We start from the raw sequence: 27,897 nt of genomic DNA, 5'->3' as shown, positions 1-27,897 counted from the left end.
TGCCTGTAATCCTAGCTACTTGGGAGGCTGAGGCAGGAGAACTGCTTGAACCCAGGAGGTGGAGGTTGTAGTGAGCAGAGATCATGCCACTGCACTCCAACCTGGACAACAGAGGGAGACTCCGTCTCAAAAAAAAAAAAAAAATAGCAGCATGAGTATTTTTTTAAATGCCCTGGCTGAGCAAAACAATCAAGGTCTACAGAGCCTGAAAATGCTGCAGAACAGAAGCAAACATTCAAAGGAAATCTCTAAAGACAGACAAAGTAAAATAAAAGGTTCTTTTGGCTTAGAAGTCAAGACTGTCCTTAGAGGCCATATAGTGACTTTAGGATACTCGCGAGCCAGAGAGAGCTGCCAAGGTACAACAAAACACAACAGGCTTTTAACCTTAAGCAAGTTAAATACAAGGAAGAATAAGCACAGATAGAGCACAACATCAGAGCCATGCTTTCTCCAAGAGGTCTGAAAGTTTTCCATCTTCCTGCGGAGAAAGATCAGAATTGCACTAAAATGACTCTGTGCCTGCAAATGGAAATCCAGGAGCACCATGAGAATGAGAGTTAAGATGGAAGAAAATAAAAGAATGGTACCTGCCAGATATAGTATATGGATAGATCAGTAGGGAGTGCTGTTTTGCTTTTTGCACATTCCACAGGGAGGAGACATTTCAGACAAAGATTTAGTTTTTGAAGTCTTAGCTTAGAATGTTTCCATTTTTTTGCCCATCATCACAAACTTTTTATGCTTTTTATGTGCATTCAACTCCTTGATCTATATTGCTATGGATACTGTAACCACTTTCTTGAGCATTTGGGATCAAAAAGGTGCAGACAGCCACATTTGGGATCAAAAAGGTGCGGGCAACCCTAGACTCTGTCTTCTGGCTTCTCTGGCCCTCCAGGAATGGTCCCTGGGGAAAAGGAGGTGTTCTGAGCCTACCTCTAGGATGCAGCAGAGCATAAGATAATTAATGCAAGAAGGGAAGCAGAGGCTTGAGCAAAGTGGGCTGAATGTGTGGAATGGAATGGCTGGATCACCTGGATTCAAGCAGGCTGAAGGCAGCCAATGGGATCATCTGGTCCCAAATCCCACGTGATGGAGGAATCCTCAGCTCAAGATTCCTGACCAGTGGTCAGCCAACCCCTGCTTGGAATCCTCAGAGATATTTCTGGCAGACCCAGAGTTACAGCACTCAGATCTCTCGCCAAGAAAGGACTTAGCAACCCAGCTTCAAGGAATGTGGTTAGCTGAGAACCTCCAGCTGTTAGTGCCTTCTGGGTCTGTCTCTTCTCTTGAGCTGAAATCAGTCTTCTCTGGCAGCCCCAAACAATGGCTGAGCAAGGCAGTAGGATAAAGTCCTGGCCACTGCTGCCCAACAGGGTACTCTCTAAGGGCCAAGCTTTGCTATGGTGCTCCCCATGGGGCAGGCAGAAACTTTGTTTTTCCTGCATCACAGCCTGAAGGCTCTATTATCCAGTCCTGCTTTCTGTCCTTCTCCTCCCCTAGGTGTTACTCCTCAGTAAGTCTTAATAGGTGAACCACAGGGGATTTTTAGGGTGTGAAACTGTTTTATATGATACTGTAATGGTGGAAACAGGACACTATGCATTTGTCAAAACACATAGAACTTTACAACACAGAAAGTGAACCTTTACGTATGCAAATCAAAGAAAAATCATTTAGGCAGTCAGAGGAAATGCAGATGAAATGCCGACTGTGACAAATCAATCTAACTGTATTACAAATGTGTAAAACAACTGCACCGAAAATGGTGTAGGGAAAAACTGTTGACCTAAGTAACTTTAGGAATGAGTGGAGTCCGTTAAGACGAAAGGCAAAAGAAACTGTATGTAAGCACTGACATCTGGTTGATAAAGTTGCTTCTCATGGGGATCCACGTTAACCACTCTAATACCACTATATGTGTACATTGCAGTTGAACAATTGAGTGGATGAATGGCAGATGGTGGGAGCCAGGTTTCAGGTTGTAGTGGAAAGTTACAGGTAAGCAAGGGGAGGTCTACAGTGACCCATATGACAATGAATTAGAGTTATAGACATCAGTATGAATTCATGTTTAGCTTAATATAGATACAGATGGTTACACATAGAAGTCAGCACACATGGGCTGGGTGCAGTGGCCCATGCACTTCAGGAGCATAAGGCAGGCAGATCACGAGGTCAGGAGTTGGAGACCAGCCTGGTCAACATGGGGAAACCCCATCTCTACTAAAAATACGAAAATTAGCCGGGCATGTTGGCAGGTGCCTGTAATCCCAGCTACTCAGGAGGCTGAGGCAGGAGAATCGCTTGAACCTGGGAGGCGGAGGTTGCAGTGAGCCGAGATTGTGCCACTGCACTCCAGCTTGGGCGACAGAGTGTGAGCTCAGTCTCAAAAAAAAGAAGTCAGCACACACACATATACCTCCTTGCCCTATCAGCTGAGAGGGCCTAGAACCAATGGCACCCCAGTATCAACAAGCACATCTAGCACCAAGATTTTGGTTTTCAACACCATGCACCAACGAAAGGAACCAGGGATACTTGAAGAAATGGCTGATTCTAGGACTTGGTCAGGGAACATATAAGATGAGCCTGGAGTATCTTGTAGAACCAGAAGGTTAAAAAAAAAAAAAGTGCTCAAAACACAAATACAACACCAAGACCCACAATAATGGGGTCTAGCAAAGGGACACAGAAGCCAAATGAGAGAGCGCTCAATGGGCGAAGCTGGAACAATTTGAGCAACAAGATTAATAAATCAGTATTTGATTACAACTCAAAGTATTAAAAGAAATCCACAAGCCCCTACAAATATAAGTTAGTGATTAAACAAATAAATAAATGAAGAGAAGAGACAAATGTCCATGATGGAATTCCAAATAATTTATGTAGCCAGGCATGGTGGCTCACACCTATAATTCCAGCACTTTGGGAAGCCGAGGCTCCACTGTAGCCTCGAACTCCCAGGCTCAAGAGATCCTCCTGCCTGAGCCTACCAAGTAGCTGGGACTACAGGCACTTGCCACCACGCCCGACTAATTTTTTTTTTTAATGTTTTGGAGAGATGGGGGTGTCTCACTATATTGCCCAGGCTGGTCTTGAACTCCTAGCGTCAAGGGCTCCTCCTGCCTCAGCCTCCCAAAGTGTTGGGATTAAAGGTGTGAGCCACCACACCTAGCCTCTTCTAATCTTCACAAAAATTGTGCTCTGTGAGTCAGGAACTACAGGAAGATCTCTAGAATATCATTACCTCCCTTAAAGAATGGTTCCCAGGCCGGGCGCAGTGACTCATGCCTATAATCCCAGCACTTTGGGAGGCTGAGGCGGGCAGATCACCTGAGGTCAGAAGTTTGAGACGAGGCTGACCAACATGGAGAAACCCCATCTCTACTAAAAATACAAAATTAGCCAGGCATGGAGGCACATGCTTGTAATCCCAGCTACTTTGGAGGCTGAGGCAGGAGAATCGCTTGAACCCAGGAGGCAGAGGTTGCGGTGAGCCGAGATCGCACCATTGCACTCCAGCCTGGGCAACAAGAACGAAACTCCATCTCAAAAAAAAAAAAAAGAATGGCTCCCAATCTGAGCTCTATTGTCTAGATGGGATCTGGACAGAGGGACTGTTGTCTTTTCTGCATATTCTTCTATCACCATGCCCTATTTGGGAGGTGGGTTTGCTCAAGCAGCAGTGAGGCAATGCTGTTCCTGGTGTTCTCCAGCCAGGGACCATCACACTGGCCAGTGCTGAGATAAGGAGCCTGTGGCAGAAGGTAAGCCAGTTACCTCACTAAGCACTGCTGCTCCCCTGCCTGGCCTCCACAGCAAGATTTTCTCCATGAAGGAAGCTGGATGTAGATTTCTGTTCCAGCCCAGTCTCCTGATCTCATCGAGAACTGGCACTGTGAGTGGCACTGAGCGAAGCCACTGTCCCCAGTGTTGTTTCTTCTTTCATGCTGCATCACAGACTTGACATCGAGTACATTCCCACTGCCTTTCAGTAAATGAAACTATTGGGGGTAGAATTCCTACAAAGAATTCTCACAGATGCTGGGGAGGAGGCCAGTTGGTGGGAAGGCGTGATAGGGAGGCACGGAGGAGAAGTCCTTAGATTGAGTGCCAAGACTTCTGTTTTAGTCCGGGCCTTGTCACTGACCAGCGGCGGATAAGGAAATTCCCACATCAGGACTAATTTTCCCCACCTGGTAAAGGAGGTGGCTGAGCTAGGTCATTTCTTAGGGCCTCCCAATTCTTGACCTCTAGGATCCAACCCTTGAGTCAAATGACTTCCATGCCCTAAATGTCCCCACGCTGGGCCCTTCCACAATTTTTGTGTCCTCATCGCGGCCCACTATGTTGTCTTCTCTGAGTGCTTTGCCTGGTAACAAATCAGCTGGCTTCAGAATGGGACCATCACAATGATATCTGGCTGCCAGACAAAAAGATAAGAGAATTAGAGAGTATGGAGCTGAACAGAATCCTCAAAAATGTGTCTGCCCCCAGAGACTGGTCACTACTTTTGTCAAGCATGAAGGTATCCATAAATGTGTGCCATTAGAGATGTCCTGAAGGAACTCTGATGTGCCTCTCTCACCCTCTGCCAGAGGCTGAATAATGACTTCAAATTTATCAGGTCCCAATCTCTGGAACCTGTAAAGGTTATCATTATCTTATTCTTTTGTTTTGGAGACAGAGTCATGCTCTGTTGCCCAGGCTGGAGTGCAGTGGTGCAATCATAGCTTCCTGCAGCCTTGACCTCCTGAGCTCAAGCGATCCTCCTACCTCAGCCTTCCAAGTAGCTGGGACTACAGGCGTGTGCTACCATGCCCGGGTAATTTTTTTATTTTTTGTAGAGACAGGGGTCTCACTGTGTTGCCCAGGCTAATCTTGAACTCCTGGGCTCAAGCAATCCTCCTTCTTCGGCCTCCCAAAGCACTGGGATTATAGGCATGAGCCACCACACAGGCATGAGCCACAGTGCCCAGCCAGGTTATCTTATTTGGAACAATGTTTTATTATTTGTAAATATCTTACTGTATTTGCTAATGTGATGAAATTAAGGATTTCTGAGAGAGGGAGACTATCCTGAATTATCTGGGTGGGCCTTAAATGCAACCCCAAGCATCATTATACAAGAGAGGCAAAGGAAGATTTCATACACACAGTGTCACCACGGAGGTCAACATCAAAAGGACATGGCCACAAGCCAAGGAATGCTGGCAGCCACCAGACACCAAAGGAGGCAAGGGACAAGGACCAGATGATTTCCTGGAGCCACTGGAGGGAGTACCGGCCGGTAGACCCCAGTTTTCTCCTCCAGAACTGGGAGAGAATGCATTTCTGGTTTTGTTCTGTTTTAAGCTACCAAGTTCGTGGTCATTAGTTAGAGCAGCCACAGGAAACTAACACACCCTCTTCCTAAATTTCAGGGACATCTTCCTTTCCTACAGATTTTCTCTTTTATGCTAACAAACAAAGCCACCTGTCAGGTGGGTCAGGATCCATTCTTTCAGTCAGGAGCCCAGCAGGTAACACTCTCTCTTTGACTTGAGGGTTTAATAAAGGGACCATTTACAAAGGTCTGAGGAGGGTTTGGGAGGCCACAGGAGACAGCAGCGTAGCCCAGGGCTGCCCACTGTAGGAGATGCTGTCACTGCCTTAGGCCTGAAGGGTCAGGGGAGAGAGCTGAGTGCAGGGGGTGGTTGCTGACAGGAGTCCTGGCCTTCAGTCAGCGGACACCACCAGCCCATGGAAGCAGCGGGAAAGGAAGAAGTGGACTAAATCCTCCATGACACACTCCCCTCCCTCTAAACCTACCTGCAGGTGCCCTCCTCTGGCTAAATCTACCCGGAAGCCAGATGTAAGGGTGCCAGTCTGGCCAGCCTCCCAGGCACAGCGCGGGTGGAAAACGGTGGAGAGTGATTTCTAAGGCCAAATGGAAAAATCCAGCACCCATGTAACTTTAGCTTCCTCTCAAGACTCTCCACACAACCAGTTTGGTTTCAAGAAATAGAAGGACCCCTGGACCTTGCTCTGTGACCCAAGGCAACTCCCCACCTGTCTTAAGCCTCATTTTCCAAAGCTGTGAAATGAAGGGTTTCGAATAGAGAGTAAGATCCCTTTCAGCTCTGGTGCTCATGATTCTAAAAGCAGATCTCATGCTTTTTCCCAGGCTCTGCTGATGCGTGCCTCAAGTCCTGACAGCTGTGTATGAACTAAGATGCATCTATTCAGGCCTCTCTTTTCCATGACGTATCCTTGCATCTGAACAAGCACGTGTGGTGCCTGCTGGAAATCCAGCCACTCCAAGGAAGAGAGCAGGCTGTGTTCTCACGTGGTATGCAGACACACACAAGTGTGCTGGAAAAGGAAACGTGAGACTATGAAAACCAGACCGGCCCTGGAGAGCCAGCTGTGAGAGACAAGGAGACAGGCCTAAGGCAAGCCACTCCCCGCCAGCCTGCGTCAGCAGGCCGCAGGCACCCTTGCTTGTTCCTGCAGGAAACTCAAGGGGGCATCGCAGCTAACTATGGCTAGTGCAGCCCTCAGGCTGGCCAGCAACGCGACTGCCAGGCCCGGCAGGCCAAGCAAAGCCTCGGCTGCCAGCAGCCATGCAGATGGTAATGATTAACCCGAAAGTCAAACTATGGAAAGTTCCAAGGGCCAGGAGAGTCCTTTGTTGCATAATAAACATACCAAGCCCTCCCTGCTACCTTGGGGCATTTTGTTCTGTATCGTGTCTGCTTTTGCAACTCTTCCTTTCTGCTTGTATCTGCCTGGAACCTCATTTTAAAAACACAGGCTTATGGCCAGGCGTGTGGCTCATACCTATAACCTCAGCACTTTGGGAGGCCAACGAGGGCGGATCACCTGAGGTCAGAAGTTCAAGACCAGCCTGCCTGGCCAACATGGTGAAACCCCGTCTCTACCAAAACTACAAAAATTAGCTGGTGTGGTGGCAGGTGCCTGTAATCCCAGCTACTCAGGAGGCTGAGGCAGGAGAATCGCTTGAACCTGTGAGGCGGAGGTTGCAGTGAGTCGAGATCACACCACTGCACTCCAGCATGGGTGACAGAGCAAGACTCTGTCTAGAAAAAACAAACAAACAAACAGGCTGAAACTAAAGAAGAAGGTATCTGGTATCTTCATTGCCTCTAGAAGACTGAAAGTGCAGAAGATGTGGAAGCCCTCCCCTCTTTGCCATCCCCAAAATCTTGGGAGGCCTGGGATGAGCAACAGGTTTCCCTTCCTTTCCCCAGTTCCCCATACTTATTAAACTAGGACCCTGCGCAATGACTGATGGGCCATGAATGAGAACGGTTTACAGTGCATTATTTGAGGCAGGGACGTCTAAGGAGGACCCGAATTCCAACATTTTAAAAAACTCTCCCAGAACTGCTGATTCCTAAATTCCATTGTCCTCTTGTTTCCAGCAAAATAATTTGATTCTTGTTATAAACACGCCCATGCTTGGCCAGTGTGCGTTTTAAGGTTGTCCCGTGAATTAAGAGCCTCGAGGCTTTCCTGGAGGTGAGGAAGGAAGGGGAGCCTGGGAGAGGCTGGGAATGGGGTGGGAGAGGGGCCACCAAGAAAAAGGACAGAGGGAGAGGGCTCTGGGCACCCAGGAAGAACATCACACCCGCTTCCTACTGCTGCCGGGTGCTGTCCCTGCTGAGCTGGTGCTAGGAATTGTTCTGAAAATTCAGGTAAGCAGCCTCCTATGAAGGAACACAGCAAAAGCCTGCAGTCCGGACCTCAGACCATCAGAAAGGAGAGTGCCTTTCCCACCAGGGAACAGATAACTACAGTGGCATTTGGCCAGGGGTTTCCTGGGAATCTCCCTGCCCTAAGTGCATCTCCCCTAGTCACTGTCACACTGAAGCCTAAAAGTCCCCCAAGAGAGCTGCACCAGTGTATGAATTCATTGATTACTTTCAAACAGTTTGCTAAACATCAAGTGCTGGTTAAAGGGGGTTCTGATGGACCAAAAAAAAAAAAGAGGATCAATTCTGGATATGAGAGATGGAGGGTATTTATTGCAGAGCGGGGCTTGGTGGGAGTCCACAGCTGGGATCGTCTCTGTCTTGTTAGAGTGTGACTGAGATCTCTGGAAAAAAGAAAAAGATATCCCTGATATCTTGAGTGGCCTGGGATGAGCAGGGAAGCCTCTAGGAGAGCAGAGAGAAAGGTGAAGAAGGCAACTTGCTTCACGATTTTACCTACACCTGGAGCTGCCTGGAACAGTCTCCTTGCTCAGATGCAATTATGCCGTGCATCTCCTGTCCGGTGCCGAGTCTTCCAAACTCTGCTCTCCAAAATGTCTAAGTGTGTTTTGCCCACACTAGCGCTGTGCCCATGTTGCAAGAGTTATGACTCTTGTCCATCAGCTTCTATGTACAGTACTCTTCAAACAGACACAAATGGCTTAAGCCAGGAATTATTAGATTCACTAGAACTATAATGTTGGGTTTAAGCACTCATACCCAAATTAGATAGCCCTAAATTAGAATGCCAACTCCAATGCTTACGAGCTGTCTGCTTTTGTGCATTTTGTCTCCTTCTCTAAACCTTGCTATCGCTATTTGCAAACCGGGGATAATAATAGTATTCACCTGACAGGCGGCCATGAGGATTAAACAAATGAGGTGACGCAGGGGAAGCACTTAGCACAATGCCTGGGTCATAGTAAGTGCTCAGTCAATGTCAGCCATTGATTTATTTCTCATCTACTTCTACTTCAAGTAAAAGTTGGCAAACTAGTTTCAAGATCATTATACATGTAATCCAGACTCAGGCTGAGCTCACAAATTTGTTCTTTGAAAAAGCCACACAATTCTTTTGTAAGTCTTGATCTCCTGGGTTTTTTTTTGTTGTTGTTGTTGTTTTAAATCAGCTATATTTAGCTCTTAAATTTCATATCTCAGTTTGAAATCCTAAAGTCATCCTTCCAAAAATACAAGTGGTTCAGCAGATGGCATTGAAAAAAAAAACAAGAAAAAAACATATTTTTGCTTTATATAACATTAGGTCAGAGGTGGGACTCATTTCCACAACTACAAAGGTAAATAAATTACACTTATACCATTTTCTTTTCCTTTCCTTTCCTTTCCTTTCCCTCTTCCTTCCTTCCTTCCTTCCTTCCTTTCTTCTTTTCTTTTCTTTTCTTTCTTTTCTTTGTTGTTGTTATTTTGAGACAGAGTCTCGCTCTGTCACCCAGGCTGGAGTGCAGTGGTACAATCTTGGCTCACTGCAACCTCTGCCTCCTGGGCTTAAGCAATTCTCCTGCCTCAGCCTCTGGAGTAGCTGAGATTACAGGCACCTGGCACCACACCCAGCTAATTTCTGCATTTTTAGTAGAGATGGAGTTTCACCATGTTGGCCAGGCTGGTCTCAAACTCCTGGCCTCAAGTTATCTGTCTGCCTTGGCCTCCCAAAGTGCTGGGATTATAGGCATGAGCCACCACACCCAGCCTACACTTACTTCATTTAATGCAAGGATGTAATTTGGCAATGCCAACCCTAAAGACTAGTTTTGTTGTTGTTGTTGTTGTTGTTGTTGTTGTTTTCAGTTTTATCTCTGGGAGAACAGCTAAGCTCTTCCCTGAAGGTCCTAGGCTGTCTCCCAGGTTCCTTCCTAGCTGGGGTCCAAGCACAATCCTCCTCTCCCCAGCTCAAATTGAAATTACATTGCATTTGTTGGTGTGCATTTTATAGTTTCAAACACCAGTGACTTCATATTTCCAGACTGCTCCCAAACTACTTTTCCTTGGGTTAACACAACAACCTCTTTTACACATAACATATTTATTGAGTGTTTATCATATGCCAGATGCAATTCTAAATGCTTCATGTGGATTAACTAATCTTATCTTCATGATATCTTTGTGAAATAGGTACTGTTATTATCATCCTTCTCCAGAGGATATTATTTTGAAGAAACTGAGGCACACAGGTTTGTGTAATTTGCCCAAGATGACCAAGCTAAAATGTGACAGAGCTGAGATGTGAACCCAGGCACTCTGGCTACAGAGCCTGGCACTTTCCCATTGAACCTTACCACCTCGGTAGGGCACAGTGGCTCACGCCTGTAATCCTGACACTTTGGGCAGCTGAGGCAGGAGGATCGCTTGAGACCAGGAGTTCAAGACCAGCCTGGGCAACATAGGGAGACCCCCATCTCTACACAAAAATTAAAAAATTTAAAAAAATAGCCAGGCATAGTGGTGCATGCCTGTAGTTTCAGCTCCTGGGGAGGCTCAGGTGGGAGGATCACTTGAGCCCAGGAGGTTGAGGCTGCAGTGAGCTAGAACTAGGACTGTACCACTGCACTCCAGCCTGGATGACACAGCAAGACCCTGTATCTAAAAAATAAAACAAACAAACAAAAACTATACCACCTCTCAGAGAAAAAGTGATGTTTATCAGGGATACAGTTTGGACAAGAATTCTAACTCCACTTATTCTTAGGAGCACTCTTCCTTCCCACAGAACATTCCGTCCTGGCCCCGTGACCCTGCTCCTCCCAGCCTATTCTCAGGGGCATTCTTCGACAAAATACGAAAAAGCCACACTCACAACAATGTCCTTCTTACTTCTGTCAAACAGGGCTGCAAAAATATTCAAGGCAGTATGGCTCAGACTCAGGGGGAGGGGGCCCCAGCCCCACCTTCACCACTAAGTGGCAGGGTGCCCTCAAGCCAGTCACTCAGTGGCTCTTCCTTTCCGCTCCACACAGCAGAGTGGGGGTCATGCCAAAAGCTACCTTATAGGGCTGAGTATTCCATGAGCTCATCTGTGTAATGTGCTCAGCCCCATGCCTGGCTCAATAAGTAATCTGTTATCATAAAGGAAGATCAATAATTAGCTGTTACAATTATTGATCATGTAGTTCATAACCGTGAGCACAATTAGAAGGACAAATTCAGAAAAGACTTGGAGAGAGAGGCCGAGTTGTAATGTCAGCTCTCCGGGGCTCTGCCCCTTGTCTGTCCCTGCACGAGAGGTCAGGTGCCTGAGATGGAACAGCTGGCTCGCTGAGCCTTGTTGGCACTCCCACCTCCAGCGGGTTCCCTAGGGCAGAAGGCGATCATTCAAGGAGGCGGATGGGAGGACGGAGTAAGAGCCTAGACAGGGGCAAGCTAGAAATCCCTCCGTCAATCAACTTTGTTCCATAAGCAGTCATTTTCAGTCTAGGCAAAGCACTGCTTGCTGCAGGTCAGCAGTTCTGCAAATTGTTTCAAAAGCATGCTTTTAACTGGGAACCTCGACATAAAAGTCAGGTAAGGATGGAGCTACTTTGTTGGAAGTGGGAAGAGGAGGTCCCTGGTGCCCCCAGGCTCCACGCTGAACTCCACAAAGGGGACCTGCATCCCTTCCAAGGAGCAAGGATGTCCTTAGATCATAAGATGTTTTCTTTTCTTTTTCTTTTCTTTTTTGAGACAGTCTTGCTCGGTTGCCCAGACTAAAGTGCAGTGGCGTGATCTCAGCTCACTATAACCTCCACCTCCCGGGTTCAAGTAATTCTCCTGCCTCAGCCTCCTGAGTAGCTGGGATTACAGGTACCTGCCACCACGCCCAGCTAATTTTTATATTTTTAGTAGAGATAGGGTTCCACCATATTGGCCAGGCTAGTCTCGAACTCCTGACCTCAAGTGATCTGCCCGCCTCGGCCTTCCAAAGTGCTGGGATTACAGGTGTGAGCCACCGCGCCCGGCCACACAAGACGTTTTTTAAGTTCAAAAGCCATTTTCTAAGAGAAACAAATGTATACAATAAATGTGAACCCAGCTGAGTACTCCTTATGCAGAAGCCATGCTGAGTTCTCTGAGCAGGTCCAGTGTCAGCACATGTATTGCCAAGGCTGGCCTTCCAGAGACCGACTGCCGGGTGTCCCTCACGAAGCCAAGGACTACACGCAGGCTCCTGGGTAGACCAGTTAGCTCTGCCCCAGACAGAAACGTTTAAGACAGCACCTGAGTTCTGTCCATAAACGCAGGGCACTGATGCTCAAGGGCCCTGACCAGGGTCTGTGCCACATCCCTGCACCCGGAGAAACAACTCAAGGTAGTTGTCCCTATGGCAGTGGGCAGAAGGAAGGGACGGAGAGAGCATCTGGGCCAGAAGAATACATGGCCCAGGTCCCGGAAAACAGCCGCGCCCCGTTCACCGTGGTGAGAATGCTTTTCCCAGCCCTGTCCCCTTCTCACTTCTCCCCGAATCTATTCCCAGATGAAGGTATTTATGACTGCTCCTGGGCATTTCAGGGGCGGAAAGAAAAAAGAAGAGAAGAGAGAAGCAAAGGGAAAAGAAAAGAAAAGGAAAGAGAAAAGAAAATAAAGAAAAGAGCAAAATCAGGGATTCACAATATTTACTTCCTAGAATTCTGCCATTTAATACCTCCCACACCAAACAAAATACGTGGTTCCAGAGACCCAAGAATTAAAGTTCAACTTGGAAAGAGAGAGGGAAAAGGAATGCCTGAACTTATTCCAGATTCGAGGCCAGTCCACCCACCACCCGGCGCATACCCAAGCGAGGGAAACACCTCAGCCCCAGGCTTAAAGGACAGCACCTCGTTTTGCTCAATAAGTGTGAAGTGGCCTCAGGAACGTGCAGTCCCCCGTTTCCTACCTCTTCGGCGAGGGTCCCCAGAGTCGGTCCCCAGGGTCGCTCCCCTCTCCCTTCTGCGCCACCTGCTACCGCTGATTTCGCATCTCTCCTGGGGAAGCCACGGGGCGATCAGGGAGGAGTTCCGAGGAAGGAAGGGGAGGGCATGGTCTCCCAACCAAGCACTTGGTTCCAGGGAAAAGGATGTTTTGTAACTTTCAGCTTGAATTTCCAGAGGCAGAACAGGAAATGTCCACGGGGCTGGAGCTCAAGTGCGAAGTCAGCTGGGTCTCCGGCTCCTTTCCGAGGGGCGCCTCCTACGTGCTCCCAACGCTGGCCCTGTCTGGAATTTAAAGCTCCGTCTGAATTCTGGTGCCTTTTCACCTCTTACTCCTTCCTCTAGCACTTCTTTTTTTTTTTTTTTTTTTCTTAATGGAACGTCAGCTTCGTTCCTGACATGCTGGAAAAAGTTTCTTTTGCTTCAACTTGGCTCAGAAACATCCTGTCCTTGTGAGAGTATTTCTCCTATTACAAAGTTCAGTTTAAAAAAGAGAGCTGTTTTGCCAACTTTTGTACTGAGAACATTTTTGACGGATTTTTTCCCCCTGATCGCTTGGATTCCAAGAAACATACACACCCACATCCCTCTGTTTTTTGTTTTTTTTTTTTTCCTTCTAATTAAAAAATAGTAATAATAGCTGGTTGGACTGGGCATAGTGGTTTGTGCCCATAATCCCCGCACTTTGGAAGGCTGAGGCAGGAGAATTGCTTGAGCTCAGGAGGTTGAGACCAGCCTGGGCAACATAGTGAGACCCTGTCTCTACACAAAATTTAAAAACTAGCCTGGCACAGTAGCTTGTGTCTGTAGTCCCAAATACTTGAGCCCAGGAGTTGGAGGTTGCAGTGAGCTATGATTGAGCCACGGCAATCCAGCCTGGGCAACAGAGTGAGATCCTGTCTCTAATGATAATAATAGTAATAATAACAATAGCTGGTGAAAGATTGCAGTGCAGGCCGGGTGCTGTGGCTCACTCCTGTAATCCCAGCACTTTGGGAGGCCAAGGTGGGCAGATCACCTGAAGTCAGGAGTTCAAAACCAGCCTGGCCAACATGGCGAAACCCCATCTCTATTAAAAATACAAAAATTAGCCAGGTGTGGTGGTGGACATCTGTAATCCCAGCTACTCGGGAGGCTGAGGCACAAGAATCTCTTGAACCCTAGAGGCGGAGGTTGCAGTGAACCTTGATCACGCCACTGCACTCCAGCCTGGGCGACAGAGCAAAACTCCCTCTCAAAAAAAAAAGAAAAGAAAAATCGCAATGCAGGTGTTCTTGTTCTTAAACTGTGGGCGGTAGGGTGCTGCCTCACTCAGCCTTGTCTGTGTGATCGTGTTCCCCACAGCACAGTGTGCATCCTGTGTGGTAAAGAGGAGTAACAGGTAATGATTCAGGTCTTCAAGGCTCTCTCTTAGTTCTAGGTCTTTCTATAATGGTCACACAAGAATTGGCTACTTTTTTCAAATGGGGTCCCATTTCAAATTACAAACTCCATCTCCTCTGCTCCCTGCCCCCACCCCGCACCCCAGGGATAGGCCTGAAAGACCCCTGGTTGTGATTTGTGGAGGTGATTGGGTGGAAGTACACAGGGCTGAGAGGCTGATCATAAGATTCAGTTGTTGGTAACTGCCCAGGGAGTAGCATGTCTGTGAATTGTCAAATGCTACCACAAATTGGGAACCTTTAGGGTACTCGTTGACCCCTGCAACAAAACTCAGTAGTTTTCATAGTGTTAATTGGGAATTTGTTCACAAACAGGAAATGAGAACATCTCCTCTGTTCTATGCATTAAAAGAAGCCATGTTGGCCAGGTTGGTTTCGAACTCCTGACCTCAGGTGATCTGCCCACCTTGGCCTCCCAAAGTGCTGGGATTACAGGCATGAGCCACAGCACCTGGCCTGCACTGCAATCTTTTACCAGCTATTGTTATTATTACTATTATTATCATTACTTGCACATTCATAGTGCGAGTAAGATTGTAAGAAAAAATAGTTTGTTAGGCCAGGTGCAGTGGTTCATGTCTGTAATCCCAGCACTTTCAGAGGCCAAGGCAGGAGGATCACTTGAGTTCAGGAGTTCAGGACAAGCCTGAGCAACCTAGGGAAGCCCTGTCTCTACAAAAATAAAATAAAATAAATTAGCCAGTGTGGTGGTGCCTGTACCTGCAGCTACTTGGCAGGCTGAGGCAGGAGGATCACTTGAGGCTGGGAGATCGAGGCTGCAATGAGCCATGATTGTACCATGGCACTCTAGCCTGGGCAGCAGAGCAAGACCCCATCTCAAAAAAAAAGAAAGAAAGAAAGAAAGAAAAGAAAAAAAATTTGCCAATTCATCAGGTTAGAAAGTTTCAAATGTTTTAGGAGTATCCTTCATTTACAAAAATTATACTGTACACATAAGAGACTAAAGCTAGCAATTTCTAGATTGTTGAGTTGATGTACTGATTACACATGATTTTTATCTAGTCAGTGAAGTGAGACTGACCCTAGGTGATATTTTTCTGTTCTGGCTTGAGTTTTGTACCTAAACTTGAAAGTAATTGAAATGCATTTATACTCTGAAATTTAGATATTCTATCATTTCAAACTCAGTGTAGTGTGGAGATAATCCTAATCAACAAAGTTTAACCCAACATTAAAAGTATGTAGTTAGATGTCTATTTTATAGTCTAACATATTTAAACATAATATTAAAATAAACATATGATCTCAAGAACCAGACTCTGAAAAGAGGTAGACAGATTGAGTCTATTTGATATCTAAACAATAGGCAAACTAAGTTTTAAAAAGATTTATTATGCCCCCACTTAAGGGCAGAAGTCTAATTCCACAGACTTGAAGACTATGTAGCCTCATGAACACATCTGACCAGAGATATCGGGGTGTTGCCTAGCAGAGTTAGTGGGATGGCACTTCTAATTCTTTTTTTAAATTTATTTTATTTTATTTTTTATTTATTAGTATTATTATTTTTTTGAGACGGAGTCTCGCTCTGTTGCCCAGGCTGGAGTGCAGTGGCATGATCTGTGTTCACTTCAAGCTCCACCTCCTGGGTTCACGCCATTCTACTACCTCAGCCTCCCAAGTGGCTGGGACTACAGGCGCCTGCCACCATGCCTGGCTAATCTTCTTGTATTTTTATTTATTTATTTTTATTTTTATTTTTGAGACGGAATCTCGCTGTGTCCCCCAGGCTGGAGTGCGGTGGTGCAATCTCGGCTCACTGCAAACTCCGCTTCCTGGGTTCACGCCATTCTCCTGCCTCAGCCTCCCGAGTAGCTGGGACTACAGACACCTGCCACCATGCCCGGCTACTTTTTTGTATTTTTAGTAGAGACAGGGTTTCACCGTGTTAGCCAGGATGGTCTGGATCTCCTGACCTTGTGATCCGCCTGCCTCGGCCTCCCAAAGTGCTGGGATTATAGCCGTGAATCTTTTTGTATTTTTAGTAGAGATGGGGTTTCACCATGTTAGCCGGGATGGTCTTGATCTCCTGACCTTGTGAGCCACCCACCTCAGCCTCCCAAAGTGCTGAGATTACAGGCATGAGCCACCGCGCCTGGCTGTCACTTCTAATTTTTACCTGGAGAGCAAGATTCACTAGATCAGTCACCTCTTTTTCAATTATTAAACTACTTGCTTTGATATCATGAATATAGACACAAGTATAAAAATCTCTTGTTGAACAGCAAAAGACAGAGCTGAAGGTGAGATGAAAACCCAGGCTTTTCAAGGTGAAAGCTAAACAATATTTCACAAAAGGCCAAATGCTGGATTGGTTTGTGGATGAGGGACCGTATTGAATTGAACTGGCTACAAAGTATTGATTGAGTGCTTACTATGTGTGCCACGTCTCTTTGAGGCCTTCTCAGATAGAACACAATTTTTCATACAACAGCACTATAAAGTATTGTTGCTCTCATTTTACAGAAGAGGAGCTGAGGTTCTGAGATATATATTTTGCAGTTTTACTTGTCAGTGTTAAGATTGTTCTTTTTTGCTTTTGTAAAAAAAGATTTATTGTATTCATGATGCCTCTCTAGTCCTGCAACTCCCTACCATGTTATATGTTAAAATTGAAAATGTCATCCATTGATTCGTCCTAGTCAATAAATATTTAATGAATGTCGATGTGCATAGCACCGGGCCAGGAGAGGAATGACTCAAACCCTGCCCTAGGGATGTTTGTAATCTAGAAGGGAGATGAGATAAAAATACCTCTTTCTTTCCTTCCTTCTTTTCTTTTTTTTTTTTGAGACTGAGTCTTGCTCTGTCGCCTGGGCTGGAGTGCAGTGGTGTAATCTTGGCTCACTGCAACCTCCACCTCCCAAGTTCAAGCAATTCTCCTGCCTCAGCCTCCCAGCTAGGACTACAGACGCAGGTGACTATGCCCAGCTAAGTTTTGTATTTTAGTAGAGATGGGGTTTCACCATGTTGGCCAGGCTGGTCTCGAACTCCTGACCTCAAGTGATCTGCCTGCCTTGGCCTCCCAAAGGGCTGGGATTACAGGAGTGAGCCACTTCGCCTGGCTTAAAAATACCCATCTCATTTAACTCAACATTTCCCCTTCTAGGTCTATACTCGAGAGATGTGAACAAATGTCCACACATAAACCTGTACACGAATGCTTATAGCAGCATTATTCATAACAGCTGCTTCCGAAAACAACCCAAATGTCCATCAACTGATGAATGAACAAAATGTGGTATATCCACACAATAGAATATTATTTGGCCACACAAAGAGATGAAGTACTGATATATGCTACAACATAGATGAACCTGGACACCATTATGCTAAGTGAAAGAAGCCAGTCACAAAACACCACATATTATATGATCAATTTTTATGAAATGTCCAGAATGGGTAAATCTACAGAGATGGAAAGTAGTGGTTGCCAGCACCTGGGGGCGTGGGGAGCAGAGGGCTTGGGGGTTGACAGCTAAAGGATACAGGCTTTCTTTTTGGCATGATAAAAATGTTCTAGGCCAGATGCAGTGGCTCACACCTGTAATCCCAGCACTTTGGGAGGCCAAGGCAGGTGGATCACTTGAGGCCAGAAGTTCAAGACCAGCCTAGCCAAATGGCGAAACTCCATCTCCACTATAAAAACAAAAATTAGCTGGGCGTTGTGGGCACACCTGTAATCCCAGCTACTTGGGAGGCTGAGGCAGAAGAATCTTTTGAGCCTGGGAGGTAGAGGTTGCAGTGAGCCGAGGAGATCAAGCCACTGCACTCCAGCATGGGCAACAGAGCAAGACTGGGTCTCAAAAAAAAAAAAATTTTTTTCTAAAATTGATTGCAGCAATGGTTGCACAATTTTGTGAATATACTAAAAATTGTTGAACTGCATGTTCTAAATGGGTGAATTTATTGTGTGTGAATGATATCTAAATAGAGAACTGTTGTAGAAACAAAACACATACCTGAAAAAATAACTATCCACTTATCTTGTAACCACTCCAGCTTCCAAAGTGTCACATTCCATGTATACTTTTTTGTTTCCTTGGCTAATTCATTCTAAGGGCACTCCAGCCCAGGCGACAGAGCAAGACTCAGTCTCAAAAAAAGAGAAAAGAAAAGAAGAGAAAGGAAAAGAAAAGAAAAGAAGGAAGGAAAGAATAAGGTATTTTTGAGAAATTCAAGGCACTGTCTGAGAAAAGAAGAGATGATGTGGGAGATTGAAGGAAAGAACCATCTCTTATATGAACACAGTATCCTGTATATTGTGGTTATTACATTTATTGAAGATCTCCCTTCTCTGGCAATGTGTGTATCCCCGAGTTCTCTTCATCCTGCCTTCTACCAAAATACATATTCAAGAAAGGATTTTAAATGTGTAATCACACTGAAATTTAGAAGGCAATGATGACTATATTTGCATTTAATTAATGTAAAAATTTTTTATTTTTGTAATTTTATGAAATAAATTCACTCTCATTTTTCCTTCCTCAAAAAAGACTAAACTCTTTGTTGTTTGGTTTCTGGTTTTCTGTTTTGTTTTGTTTTTTGTTTTTTGAGACAGGATCTTGCCCTGTCACCCAAGTTGAAAGGCAGTGATGTGAGCATGGCTTATGGCAGCCTTGGCCTCCTGGGCTCAAATAATCCTCCTGCCTCAGCCTTCAGAGTAGCTGGGACCAGAGGCGCATGCCACTATGCCCAGCTAATTTTTTAAAAAATTATTTTTGTAGAAACGGGGTTCTCCCTAAGTTGTCCAAACTGGTCTTGAACTCCTGGGCTCAAGCGATCTGCCGGCCTTGACCTCCCAAAGTGCTGAGATTACAGGCATGAGCCACCGTGGCCAACCCAAACTCTTGCTTTATTCCAGGTACATTGCAAGGTGCAGGAGCTAAGACTCCAGTAGAGAAAGCAACTAACCAAACAGATCTCATAGGCGGTTCTGGGCACTATAATAGGATATAGCGGTATGATAACGGCCCATCTAGGGCAGAGGTATACGACGTGGCAAATCTGCTGGAGCAGCAGGTGTCTGTGGCCAATAAGGAGCTCCTGAAAGGTTTGGAGAGTGCCATGTTTGAGAATGGATGTTCGGAGATGCTGAGAATGGTAAAATTGGCATTTAACAATAGAATTTCTGGCAATTGGATGAAAGAGAAAATTTTTAAAAGAAATTTTTTAAAAAATTATTTTTGTAGAGACGGGGGTCTCCCTATATTGCCCTAGCTGGTCTTGAACTCCTGCGCTCAAGCAAGCCTCCAGCCTTGGCCTCCCAAAGTGCTGTGATTACAGGCATGAGCCACCTCGCCTGTCCCAACCTCTTACTTTATTCCCGGTACATTTCAAGGTGCAGGAGCTGAGTCCAGTAGAGAAAGCAAGCAAGCAAACAAACAAATCTCATTGACGGTTCCAACGTTATTATTGTTGTTTTGTTGTTGTTATTATTTTGAAGGATAGTTATGTAACAGCAATTTAGTAACCACTTCCTGGCTCCTGAAATGTCATTTGCAGAGTCGCAGAAAGACAATTCCGTTGCCCTCCTTTAAGAGTCCATTACCAGGACAATAAACTCCGTTTTCTGGGGGAGTCAGGTGATATTCTCACATATGTCCAGTAGGTGGAGGCATTGCTGTTCCAGAAAGAAAACTCTTCTTTGCAAACTTGGTCTGATTGCCATTGCCGCTGAGCACCGGAGGGACTGCCATTTACTCCTTTTTGTACCGGACAGCAGGAAGCAGGCCAGAATTATGCAGTAGAGAGCGCATGGATCTTGCAACCCAACACCGCCGTGTCCTAACCTGGACTCCTCCGCCCAGTAGAGTGACCTTGGGCACATTACTTCACCTCTTTGAATCTCAGTTACCTCATCCAAAAGGTGATGGTTTTGTAGGTCCGCGATCCCTTATCCACATTTCCAAACTTCCCCACTCTGGAAACCACAAGCATTTCGTAACTGTGGGGCAGCAAAACCTGACCTCAACTGACCTGAAGTTACGTACTATCCTACTTAGCTTGAATATTCTTACATTTCGCTGCAGAAAGGGTTTATATGTTTGATTACAAGGTGCTCCCCTAGCCCACTCGGGGTTTGATATAATAAAAGGTATATTGGGTTGTGTCACTGTGTGCGGAATTGGTGGGTTCTTGGTCTCACTGACTTCAAGAATGAAGTCGGGGACCCTTGCGGTGAGTGTTACAGTTCTTAAAGGCAGCGTGTCCGGAGTTTGTTTGTTCTGATGTTTGGATGTGTTCGGAGTTTCTTCCTTCTGGTGGGTTTGTGGTCTCGCTGGATCAGTAGTGAAGCTGCAGACCTTCGTGGTGAGTGTTACAGCTCTTAAGGCGGCGCGTCTGGAGCTGTTCGTTCCTCCCGGTGGGTTCGTGGTCTCGCTGGCTTCAGGAGTGAAGCCGCAGACCTTCACGGTGAGTCTTACAGCTCATAAAGGCAGTGTGGACCCAAAGAGTGAGCAGCAGCAAGATTTATTGCAAGGAGCAAAAGAACAAAGCTTCCATAGTGTTGAAGGGGACCCCAGCAGGGTGCCACTGTTGGCTCCAGCAGCCTGCTTTTATTCTCTTATCTGGCCCCACCCACATCCTGCTGATTGGTCCATTTTACAGAGAGCAGAGTGGTCTGTTTTGACAGGGTGCTGATTGGTGCGTTTACAATCCCTGAGCTAGACACAGAGGTTCTCCACCTCCCCACCAGATTAGCTAGATACAGTGTGGACACAAAGGTTCTCCAAGTCCCCACCAGAGTAGCTAGATATAGAGTGTCCATTGGTGCATTCACAAACCCTGAGCTAGATAGACACAGGGTGCTGATTGGTGTGTTTACAAACCTTGAGCTAGATACAGAGTGCAGATTGGTGTATTTACAATCCCTTAGCTAGACATAAAGGTTCTCCACGTCCCCACCAAACTCAGGAGCCCAGCTGGCTTCACCCAGTGGATCGGGCACCGGGGCTGCAGGTGGAGCTGCCTGCCAGTCCCACGCCGTGCGCCTGCACTCCTCAGCCCTTGGGTGGTCGGTGGGACTGGGCGCCGTGGAGCAGGGGGCGGCGCTCGTCGGGGAGGCTAGGGCCGCAAAGGAGCCCACAGAGGCGGGGGAGGCTCAGGCATGGCGGGCTGCAGGTCCCGAGCCCTGCCCCGCGGGAAGGCAGCTAAGGCCCGGCGAGAAATTGAGCCCAGCAGCTGCTGGCCCAGGTGCTAAGCCCCTCACTGCCCGGGGCCGGTGGGGCCCGCCAAGCCCATGCCCACCCGGAACTCGCGCTGGCCCGGAAGCACCGCGCGCAGCCCCGGTTCCCGCCCGCGCCTCTCCCTCCACACCTCCCCGCAAGCTGAGGGAGCCGGCTCCGGCCTTGGCCAGCCCAGAAAGGGGCTCCCACAGTGCAGTGGCAGGCTGAAGGGCTCCTCAAGTGCGGCCAAAGTGGGAGCCCAGGCAGAGGAGGCGCCGAGAGCGAGCGAGGGCTGTGAGGACTGCCAGCACGCTGTCACCTCTCATTACCTTCCTAAAACCTGAGAAAATCCAGAATCCCGAAGTACACCCGGCTCTAGGGTAAGAGATTGTAAATCTGAACTACTGACTGTAAAGGGAGGGAGGAGGGAGGAAAGAAGGGAGGGAGGAGGGACGAAGGTACTTTAGTGAAATTGATCTTATCTTGTTTCTCCCCTAGCCATTATCAATAACACACATACTTCTACAAAAGGAGGACTTCCATTCCAAATACAAGATATTATGTACTTTTTCATTTCTCTCTTTAGGGTTCCCTCCACCATCCATTCGGTTGCACACACCGGAAGGGCGTAAAGGGTTTTATAAGGATGAAGGGAGACACCTTGCCTGAAGCACCTGGGCGGCCCCAAGGACTCTTCTTCCTCCTACCCAAGCCAATCAGACTTGGAGTCCTGGCAAATCAGAGAAATCCCGGGGGAAAAACAAAGAATCTCTGTTGATACACTCACATCATTCATTCATTTGATACATACATATTAAGCACCTACTTAATATGTGCCAGATACTCTGTGATTAATAAGCTTATTGTCTCCTGCTGACCCTGTGCCATCCCCGGGTAGACTCGGGGATTGTCTTGGGCTCTGCAAATTACTCAGCACTTTGGGAGGCCAAGAGGAGAGGATCACTTGAGCTCAGGAGCTTGAGACCAGCCTGGACAACACGACGAGACCTTGTCTCTACAAAAAAATTTTAAAAATTAGCCAGGAGGATGGCTTGAGGCCGAAAGTTGCTGACCAGCCTGGGCAACGTAGTGAGACTCCTTTCTACAAAAAAAAAATTAAAAATTAGGTGGGTGTGGTGGCGGGTGCCTGTAGTCCCAGCTACTCAGAGGCTGAGGTAGGAGCATTGCTTGAGCCCAGGAGGTCAAGGCTGCACTAAGTCATGATTGCGGCACTGCACTCCAGCCTGGGATACAGACTGAGACCCTGTCTCAAAACAGAAGAAGAAGGAGAAGGAGGAGGAAGAGTAGGAGGAGGAGGCTACAGCAGGTGCTGCTAAAGGGAAGAGGAAAAACCCACTCGTAGACTCAGTCCATAGCTGTCTTTTCCACCATCCCTAAACTTTTAATCATATCCTTGATTTTCACTCTGAAGATTTCACCTGTTTAAAACTTCTGCCCTTGGGGAGACATGGCTGATGGAGGCAGAAGGTGGGACTTGAATGCAGCTCTCACCTGGGCATTTCTTGACTCTCTGGAGTAAATAGCATGAAGGCCTGGGAAATTCACCTGCTGCCAATTTGATGTCTGCTTTAGATGCACCACCAGTATAATGGAGATCACAACTCCTGGCCCCACCCACTTCACCATCCCTTTTATGGCTTTTCTCTTCCTGTCTCTCCATGCTCCAGGCAGATCCAAGTTCTTGCAGTTCTTCGAATGTGTCCAACTCTGCTGCCTTCTTTGCCTTTGCACATGCTGTTCCCTTGTCCTAGAACCGCTCCTTCTCTCCTGTTTAATTCCCGGTAGTCCTTCTGCAGAGCCCAGGGCTCAACGACTCCAGATGCCTTCCCTACCCTTCCTTTCTGTCAGTGCTGGGCCATCCTGTGGGATCCTATGCACACTTCCGTCATAGCACCACACACACTGCGTAGGGGTCATCAATGTCAGTGTCTCCACCCTGCCCACCACAAACAGGCAGTGGGAGCTCCTTGGGGGCACACCCTGTTCTTTACGTCTTCAGCATCACTGGGCTTGTCCACAAAGGAGGCACTCAATAAATGTTGGATGATTACATGAATGACGGTGGAGATCAATATTATTATATTTATGAAAGAGCTCTGAGCTCTTGGGAATATGACCATATTCTACATTGCAGAAAATGACATAAATCTGCAGCCGTTGCAAGAAGAAATCTGAGACTTATTTTAATGTCAGGTCCTCGCCCTGCACAACCTATTACTCATCCCTGGTGCAGAGGCTGTGTTTGTGGGAAGCACACCAGGCAGAAAGTCTCAAAGCCTGGGATCCGGCCCACGTCTGTCACCAGCCAGCTGTGTGATCATTGAGGGTCACATGTCAGAACCCTCACTTCCCTTATCAGGGCAACAAAGAATCAGAGCCGCTGAACAACTTCTTTCTTGTTCTGATATTCTGTTATTTTATTTTGAGCGCATTGAGCTATGAGTTCACAGAATGCACGATGACATCTAAGCAAACTTGCTAGTTTTAAAAATAGGCCATGTACGTGAATGTGCATTGAAGTGTGCACCAAGACAAGGATTGTGGACAACAATACTGTGGCCAGGGTGGTGGTCAATTGGCAGATTGTCCTGCAAACCCTCCTACCTTTGCAGTTTGATTCCTTTTTTGTCTTCAGAAAGTCCTCTCTTAAAATTCAAATTTTTCTGGGTCCCATTTCATTACCTTAAAATCCTAGGATTTCAAGCTAGAAAGGATTTAGCAAGTAATACTTCAGTTATCCCATCAAAACCTTGCAGGGATTGTTGACAGGCAACTGGGATGAGACAGGCTCTTAGTGGCACCTGGGTAATCAGCCCCAGTGACGCTGCAGGCTGTTGATAGGGAGAGAGGAAGATACTTAAGTGAAATTGATCCTACCTTGTTAGTTTCTCCTCTAGCCATTATCAGTAACACATGTACTTCTACAAAAGCAGGACTTGCGTTCCAAATACAAGGTATTCTGTACTTCCCCACTTCTCTCTCTAGGGTTCCCTCCACCATCCACTCAGTTGCACACACCAAAGACCTGGAAACCATTGTCTCCTTTCCCCGCCTCTCACACGCAGTCTGTCAGCAAATTCAATCCTCTCTTCCTTCAAATATGTCCCCTATCTGCCCGCATATCATCACCGCCACTGCTGAAACTCAGGTGAAAGTCATGTCATCATGTCAGAGCGAATGCAACAGCCCCCTCCCTTGTTCTCTTGCATCTACTCTTGTTCCCCTAAAGACCATTCTCTAGAGAGCAGACAGGACCATCATCTCCCGTTGAAAACCCTCCAATCAGTTTCCATTGCTAGTCCAGTGAGATCCAAACTCCTTACCACATTGGCACGGCCCCTGCCTACCTCTCAACCTCTGTCCAAGGCCCAGGCACTCTGGCCTTTCTGTCCCTCACACAAGCCAAGCATTTTGCTCTTTCAGGGCTTAGAACGTGTTATTACCTCTTTCTCCAGATCTTCATACACACCCCAACCTCTAACACTAGTGGGGTCCAGGAACAAGGGCCGGAATGGAAACCCATAAACCATATCTCCAAGTATTTAAAAGTTATAGATCACTCTAAAACCTATCACATAAAACATGTTCCAGCCTCTTAACATGTCAAATGCCTTCATAATGACAAAATTGAAAAATATGTGTAAACACATGGTTTTGATGACTGCAAGTTAGCAAAATACAAAAGAAAATTAAATTTATTACTGTGCATATTTAACTGTTCTGTTGATTGGTTGGTGATATTTGAATGAGTAATAAAAATAGAGACATATGTATTATCTATGACTTATATGTTTATTCCACAAAGTTTATTTTTTGTTTCATTTCGATGTAATCACTAATATAATCATTTTCAAATAATTGTGTTATATTGAGATGAATGATATAAAATATTTTTTAAAATGTTATTGTCCTCAAAGTGTAAAAAATTAAAATATATTATCATTAAAATATAACTGAAAGTAAATATTTGAAAATTAAAATAGTTTTCATATATCATTTCAAAAAAGTTATTTTTCTCAGGTATTCAACATTATTTATAATTAAACAAATATGTGTTCTAATTAGTGAATATGAAAAGTTTAAATTACAATTATTTAAATAAAGCTGAAAAATTCTTTTGGAAAATCTAGCTAAATTATATTAGATATTCTTACTTTTTAAAAAAATTCTCAGGCTGAGCATGGTGACTCACACCTGTAATCCTAGCACTTTGGGAAGCCGAGGCCGGAGGATCACTTGAGCCCAAAAGTTTGAGACCAGCCTGGGCAACATAGTGAGACTCTGTCTCCACAAAAAAATTAAAAAGTAACTAGGTGTGGTGGCGCATGCCTGTGGTCCCAGCTACTGGGGAGGCTGAGGCAGGAGGATTACTGGAGCCCAGGAGGTCAAGGCTGCAGTGAGTCATGATTGTGCCATTGCACTCCAGCATGGGCAACATAAGGAGACCCTGTCTCAAAACAAACAAAAGAGAAAACGTTTCTCAATTTTGGTGTTCAGTGCTGTCAAGGTAAATAATTGGTATGCTTTGAGCATCTTACATCTAAACCAACATACATACACATTTAAGAGAAATGCGAATTACTTGACATTGCAAATGTTCCTCATCCATCATGTGTAAACATCCTAAATACCTCTTTAATCCATGAGCATCTCCAGAACACAAAGAGAAGAAAAAGACAGATTCTCAGAACTCTGGGAAACAATTCTTCCTTATGCAATAATCTAGTGCTCTGATGCTGTTTTGAGAAAGGTTTGAACAAATTAGTTAATTTGTCCTTTCTCTCACCTAAGCACTTTCGCCACACAAATTCTCTCCAGCACCACCCACAACCTTGACAGCATTAGGACAAGGTGGTGGAGAAGCGTTTCCCTGGAGTCTGAACCGTGTTAAATAATCAGAGTGGTTGGGGTCCTCCAAATCCCCAGGCCCAGGACAGGGGCCCCTATTGCCCTGTTCCAAGGGTAGTTCCTTCTTTCATGCCTCCTGGGTACCTGCTTATAGAAAGGCCTTCTCTGGCCACCCTGAATAACTGATGTGGCATCCATACTGCACCACCCCAACCATTCTGTGTCCCCTTGTCCCATATGATCTTTTCATAGCAATTTACACCATCTAAAATCACACCTTTCTCTGCCCACCATGGACCTCGTCATGTGCATAAGCCCTCAATGCCTATTTGTTAATGATTGGACATCTCTGACCATCAGATTCCAGAGGTGCCTCAGCAATGGACATTTATTTGTGTGATGGTTTAATACACAGTGTCTCCTCATCCATGCTTTCGTGAGATTCCCATGACCTGTGAAGAACAAAGGGCACGCCTGGGGCTCAGAGAAGTTACGAGGTTTGCCACTGTGAGCAAATGGTAGAGCTAAAGCTAACCATACAATTAGGACTCTTTCCCCTAGACCCCTAGAGTGAAGAAGGAGCCTTGAGGGTTTATGGTGCAGCCTCAAAACACACACCCATGGTGAGCGGCCGCACACAATTCTGCCCCTAGAGGGCAGTGGCTGCACACACATGGACATCGGACGCATTTGGACCACTAGCTGGTTAGTGATGGGCGTCCATGTCTTCACCTAGTTTTTTGTTTTTGTTTGTTTTGTTTTGTTTTTTGAGATGGAATCTCGCTCTGTTGCCCAGGCTGGAGTGCCGTGGCACAATCTCAGCTCACTGCAACCTCCGCCTCCAGGGTTCAAGTGATTCTCCTGCCTCAGCCTCTCAAGTAGCTGGGACTACAGGTGTGTGCCACCATGCCCAGCTAATTTTTTGTATTTTTAGTAGAGGCGGGGTTTCACCATATTAGCCAGGATGGTCTCGATCTCCTGACCTCGTGATCCGCCTGGCTCAGCCTCCCAAAGTGCTGGGATTACAGGCGTGAGCCACTGCACCCAGCCAACTTCACCTAGATTTTAGAAGACGGAGACATCCTGATCATACCAAGACAAGAATACAGTTCCATAGACCTTACTGGCCTAGTGTGTTTCCAGGAAGTCTGGAACTTCCTGGGTGGACCTCCTGCCTTTACCACGACTTCTTCCAAGGAGAAAGCTAGAACTCAAGCCCAGTTCAACTCTGTGTTTTCCTTTCTGCCCTTGGATACCTTCCTACCAGTCTTGCTCAATTTGGGCACTCCTGACATTTTGGACTGGAAATTTTTGTTGCTGTGGGGGGCTGTCCTGTGCATTGTGAGGGGCTGTCCAGAATCCCTGGCCTCTACACCAAATTGCTAGCAGTCGTCACTCCCCGTCTCAGTTGTGACAACAGAAAATGTCTACAAACATTGCCAAATGTTTGGGGGAGGTAGAAGGAGAAGGTAACAACATTGGCCTGGTTTGAGAGCCACTAAACCAAACCAGCCATGGAATAGATGCCGTGGAGTCTAGCCGTGAACTGTTGTCCAGGAGGCGGCTGGGGAGGAATTCACAAATGTTCCCAGCACAGGATCTGGCAATTTCTGTGTAAACTTTTCTTCCAGTGATATTTAATTTTTTTATCATCTCCAAATGGTAATCGTTTGCAAATTAAGTGGTGTTTATCCTCCTGGCTATGAACTCTTAACAGAGTGCAGGAGCTTTTTTG

General features: G+C 46.3%; 1 protein-coding gene across 31 annotated transcripts in view, besides 6 other annotated features; it reads right to left on the bottom strand.

The window, feature by feature from the left end:
* Positions 1-12,720, bottom strand: part of TACC1 (transforming acidic coiled-coil containing protein 1) — a 124,447-nt gene extending 111,727 nt beyond the window's left edge. For 26 of the 31 annotated variants that reach the window (NR_148051.2, NR_148049.2, NR_148050.2 and 23 more), the window contains exon 1: positions 12,631-12,720. Coding sequence is in view for 3 of the 31 variants with exons in the window: in XM_047422141.1 (XP_047278097.1) it covers positions 3,787-3,840 (54 nt within the window). In the remaining 28 variants the exon portion in view is untranslated. Of the gene's footprint in view, positions 1-3,786; positions 4,430-12,571 lie in introns of all 31 variants that reach the window. The other 5 variants (NR_148052.2, XM_047422141.1, XM_047422142.1 and 2 more) reach the window with 2 other exon arrangements.
* Positions 5,314-5,813: an enhancer, noted in NCBI's record as "H3K27ac hESC enhancer chr8:38593007-38593506 (GRCh37/hg19 assembly coordinates)". NCBI's record gives its function as "activates a minimal SCP1, AML or CMV promoter by ChIP-STARR-seq in naive H9 embryonic stem cells {active_cell/tissue: H9 hESC(naive)}" and the evidence as "EXISTENCE:reporter gene assay evidence [ECO:0000049][PMID:30033119]".
* Positions 6,394-6,893: an enhancer, noted in NCBI's record as "H3K27ac hESC enhancer chr8:38591927-38592426 (GRCh37/hg19 assembly coordinates)". NCBI's record gives its function as "activates a minimal SCP1, AML or CMV promoter by ChIP-STARR-seq in primed H9 embryonic stem cells {active_cell/tissue: H9 hESC(primed)}" and the evidence as "EXISTENCE:reporter gene assay evidence [ECO:0000049][PMID:30033119]".
* Positions 19,626-19,805: an enhancer, noted in NCBI's record as "active region_27256". NCBI's record gives its function as "activates an Ori minimal core promoter by ATAC-STARR-seq in GM12878 lymphoblastoid cells {active_cell/tissue: GM12878}" and the evidence as "EXISTENCE:reporter gene assay evidence [ECO:0000049][PMID:35858748]".
* Positions 19,946-19,995: an enhancer, noted in NCBI's record as "active region_27255". NCBI's record gives its function as "activates an Ori minimal core promoter by ATAC-STARR-seq in GM12878 lymphoblastoid cells {active_cell/tissue: GM12878}" and the evidence as "EXISTENCE:reporter gene assay evidence [ECO:0000049][PMID:35858748]".
* Positions 21,148-21,669: an enhancer, noted in NCBI's record as "H3K27ac-H3K4me1 hESC enhancer chr8:38577151-38577672 (GRCh37/hg19 assembly coordinates)". NCBI's record gives its function as "activates a minimal SCP1, AML or CMV promoter by ChIP-STARR-seq in primed H9 embryonic stem cells {active_cell/tissue: H9 hESC(primed)}" and the evidence as "EXISTENCE:reporter gene assay evidence [ECO:0000049][PMID:30033119]".
* Positions 26,842-26,901: a silencer, noted in NCBI's record as "silent region_19132". NCBI's record gives its function as "represses an Ori minimal core promoter by ATAC-STARR-seq in GM12878 lymphoblastoid cells {active_cell/tissue: GM12878}" and the evidence as "EXISTENCE:reporter gene assay evidence [ECO:0000049][PMID:35858748]".

This window comes from Homo sapiens, chromosome 8 (genome assembly GCF_000001405.40).
Source record: "Homo sapiens chromosome 8, GRCh38.p14 Primary Assembly".
Lineage (NCBI taxonomy): Eukaryota > Metazoa > Chordata > Mammalia > Primates > Hominidae > Homo > Homo sapiens.
This window is presented reverse-complemented; position numbering and strand designations above follow the sequence as displayed.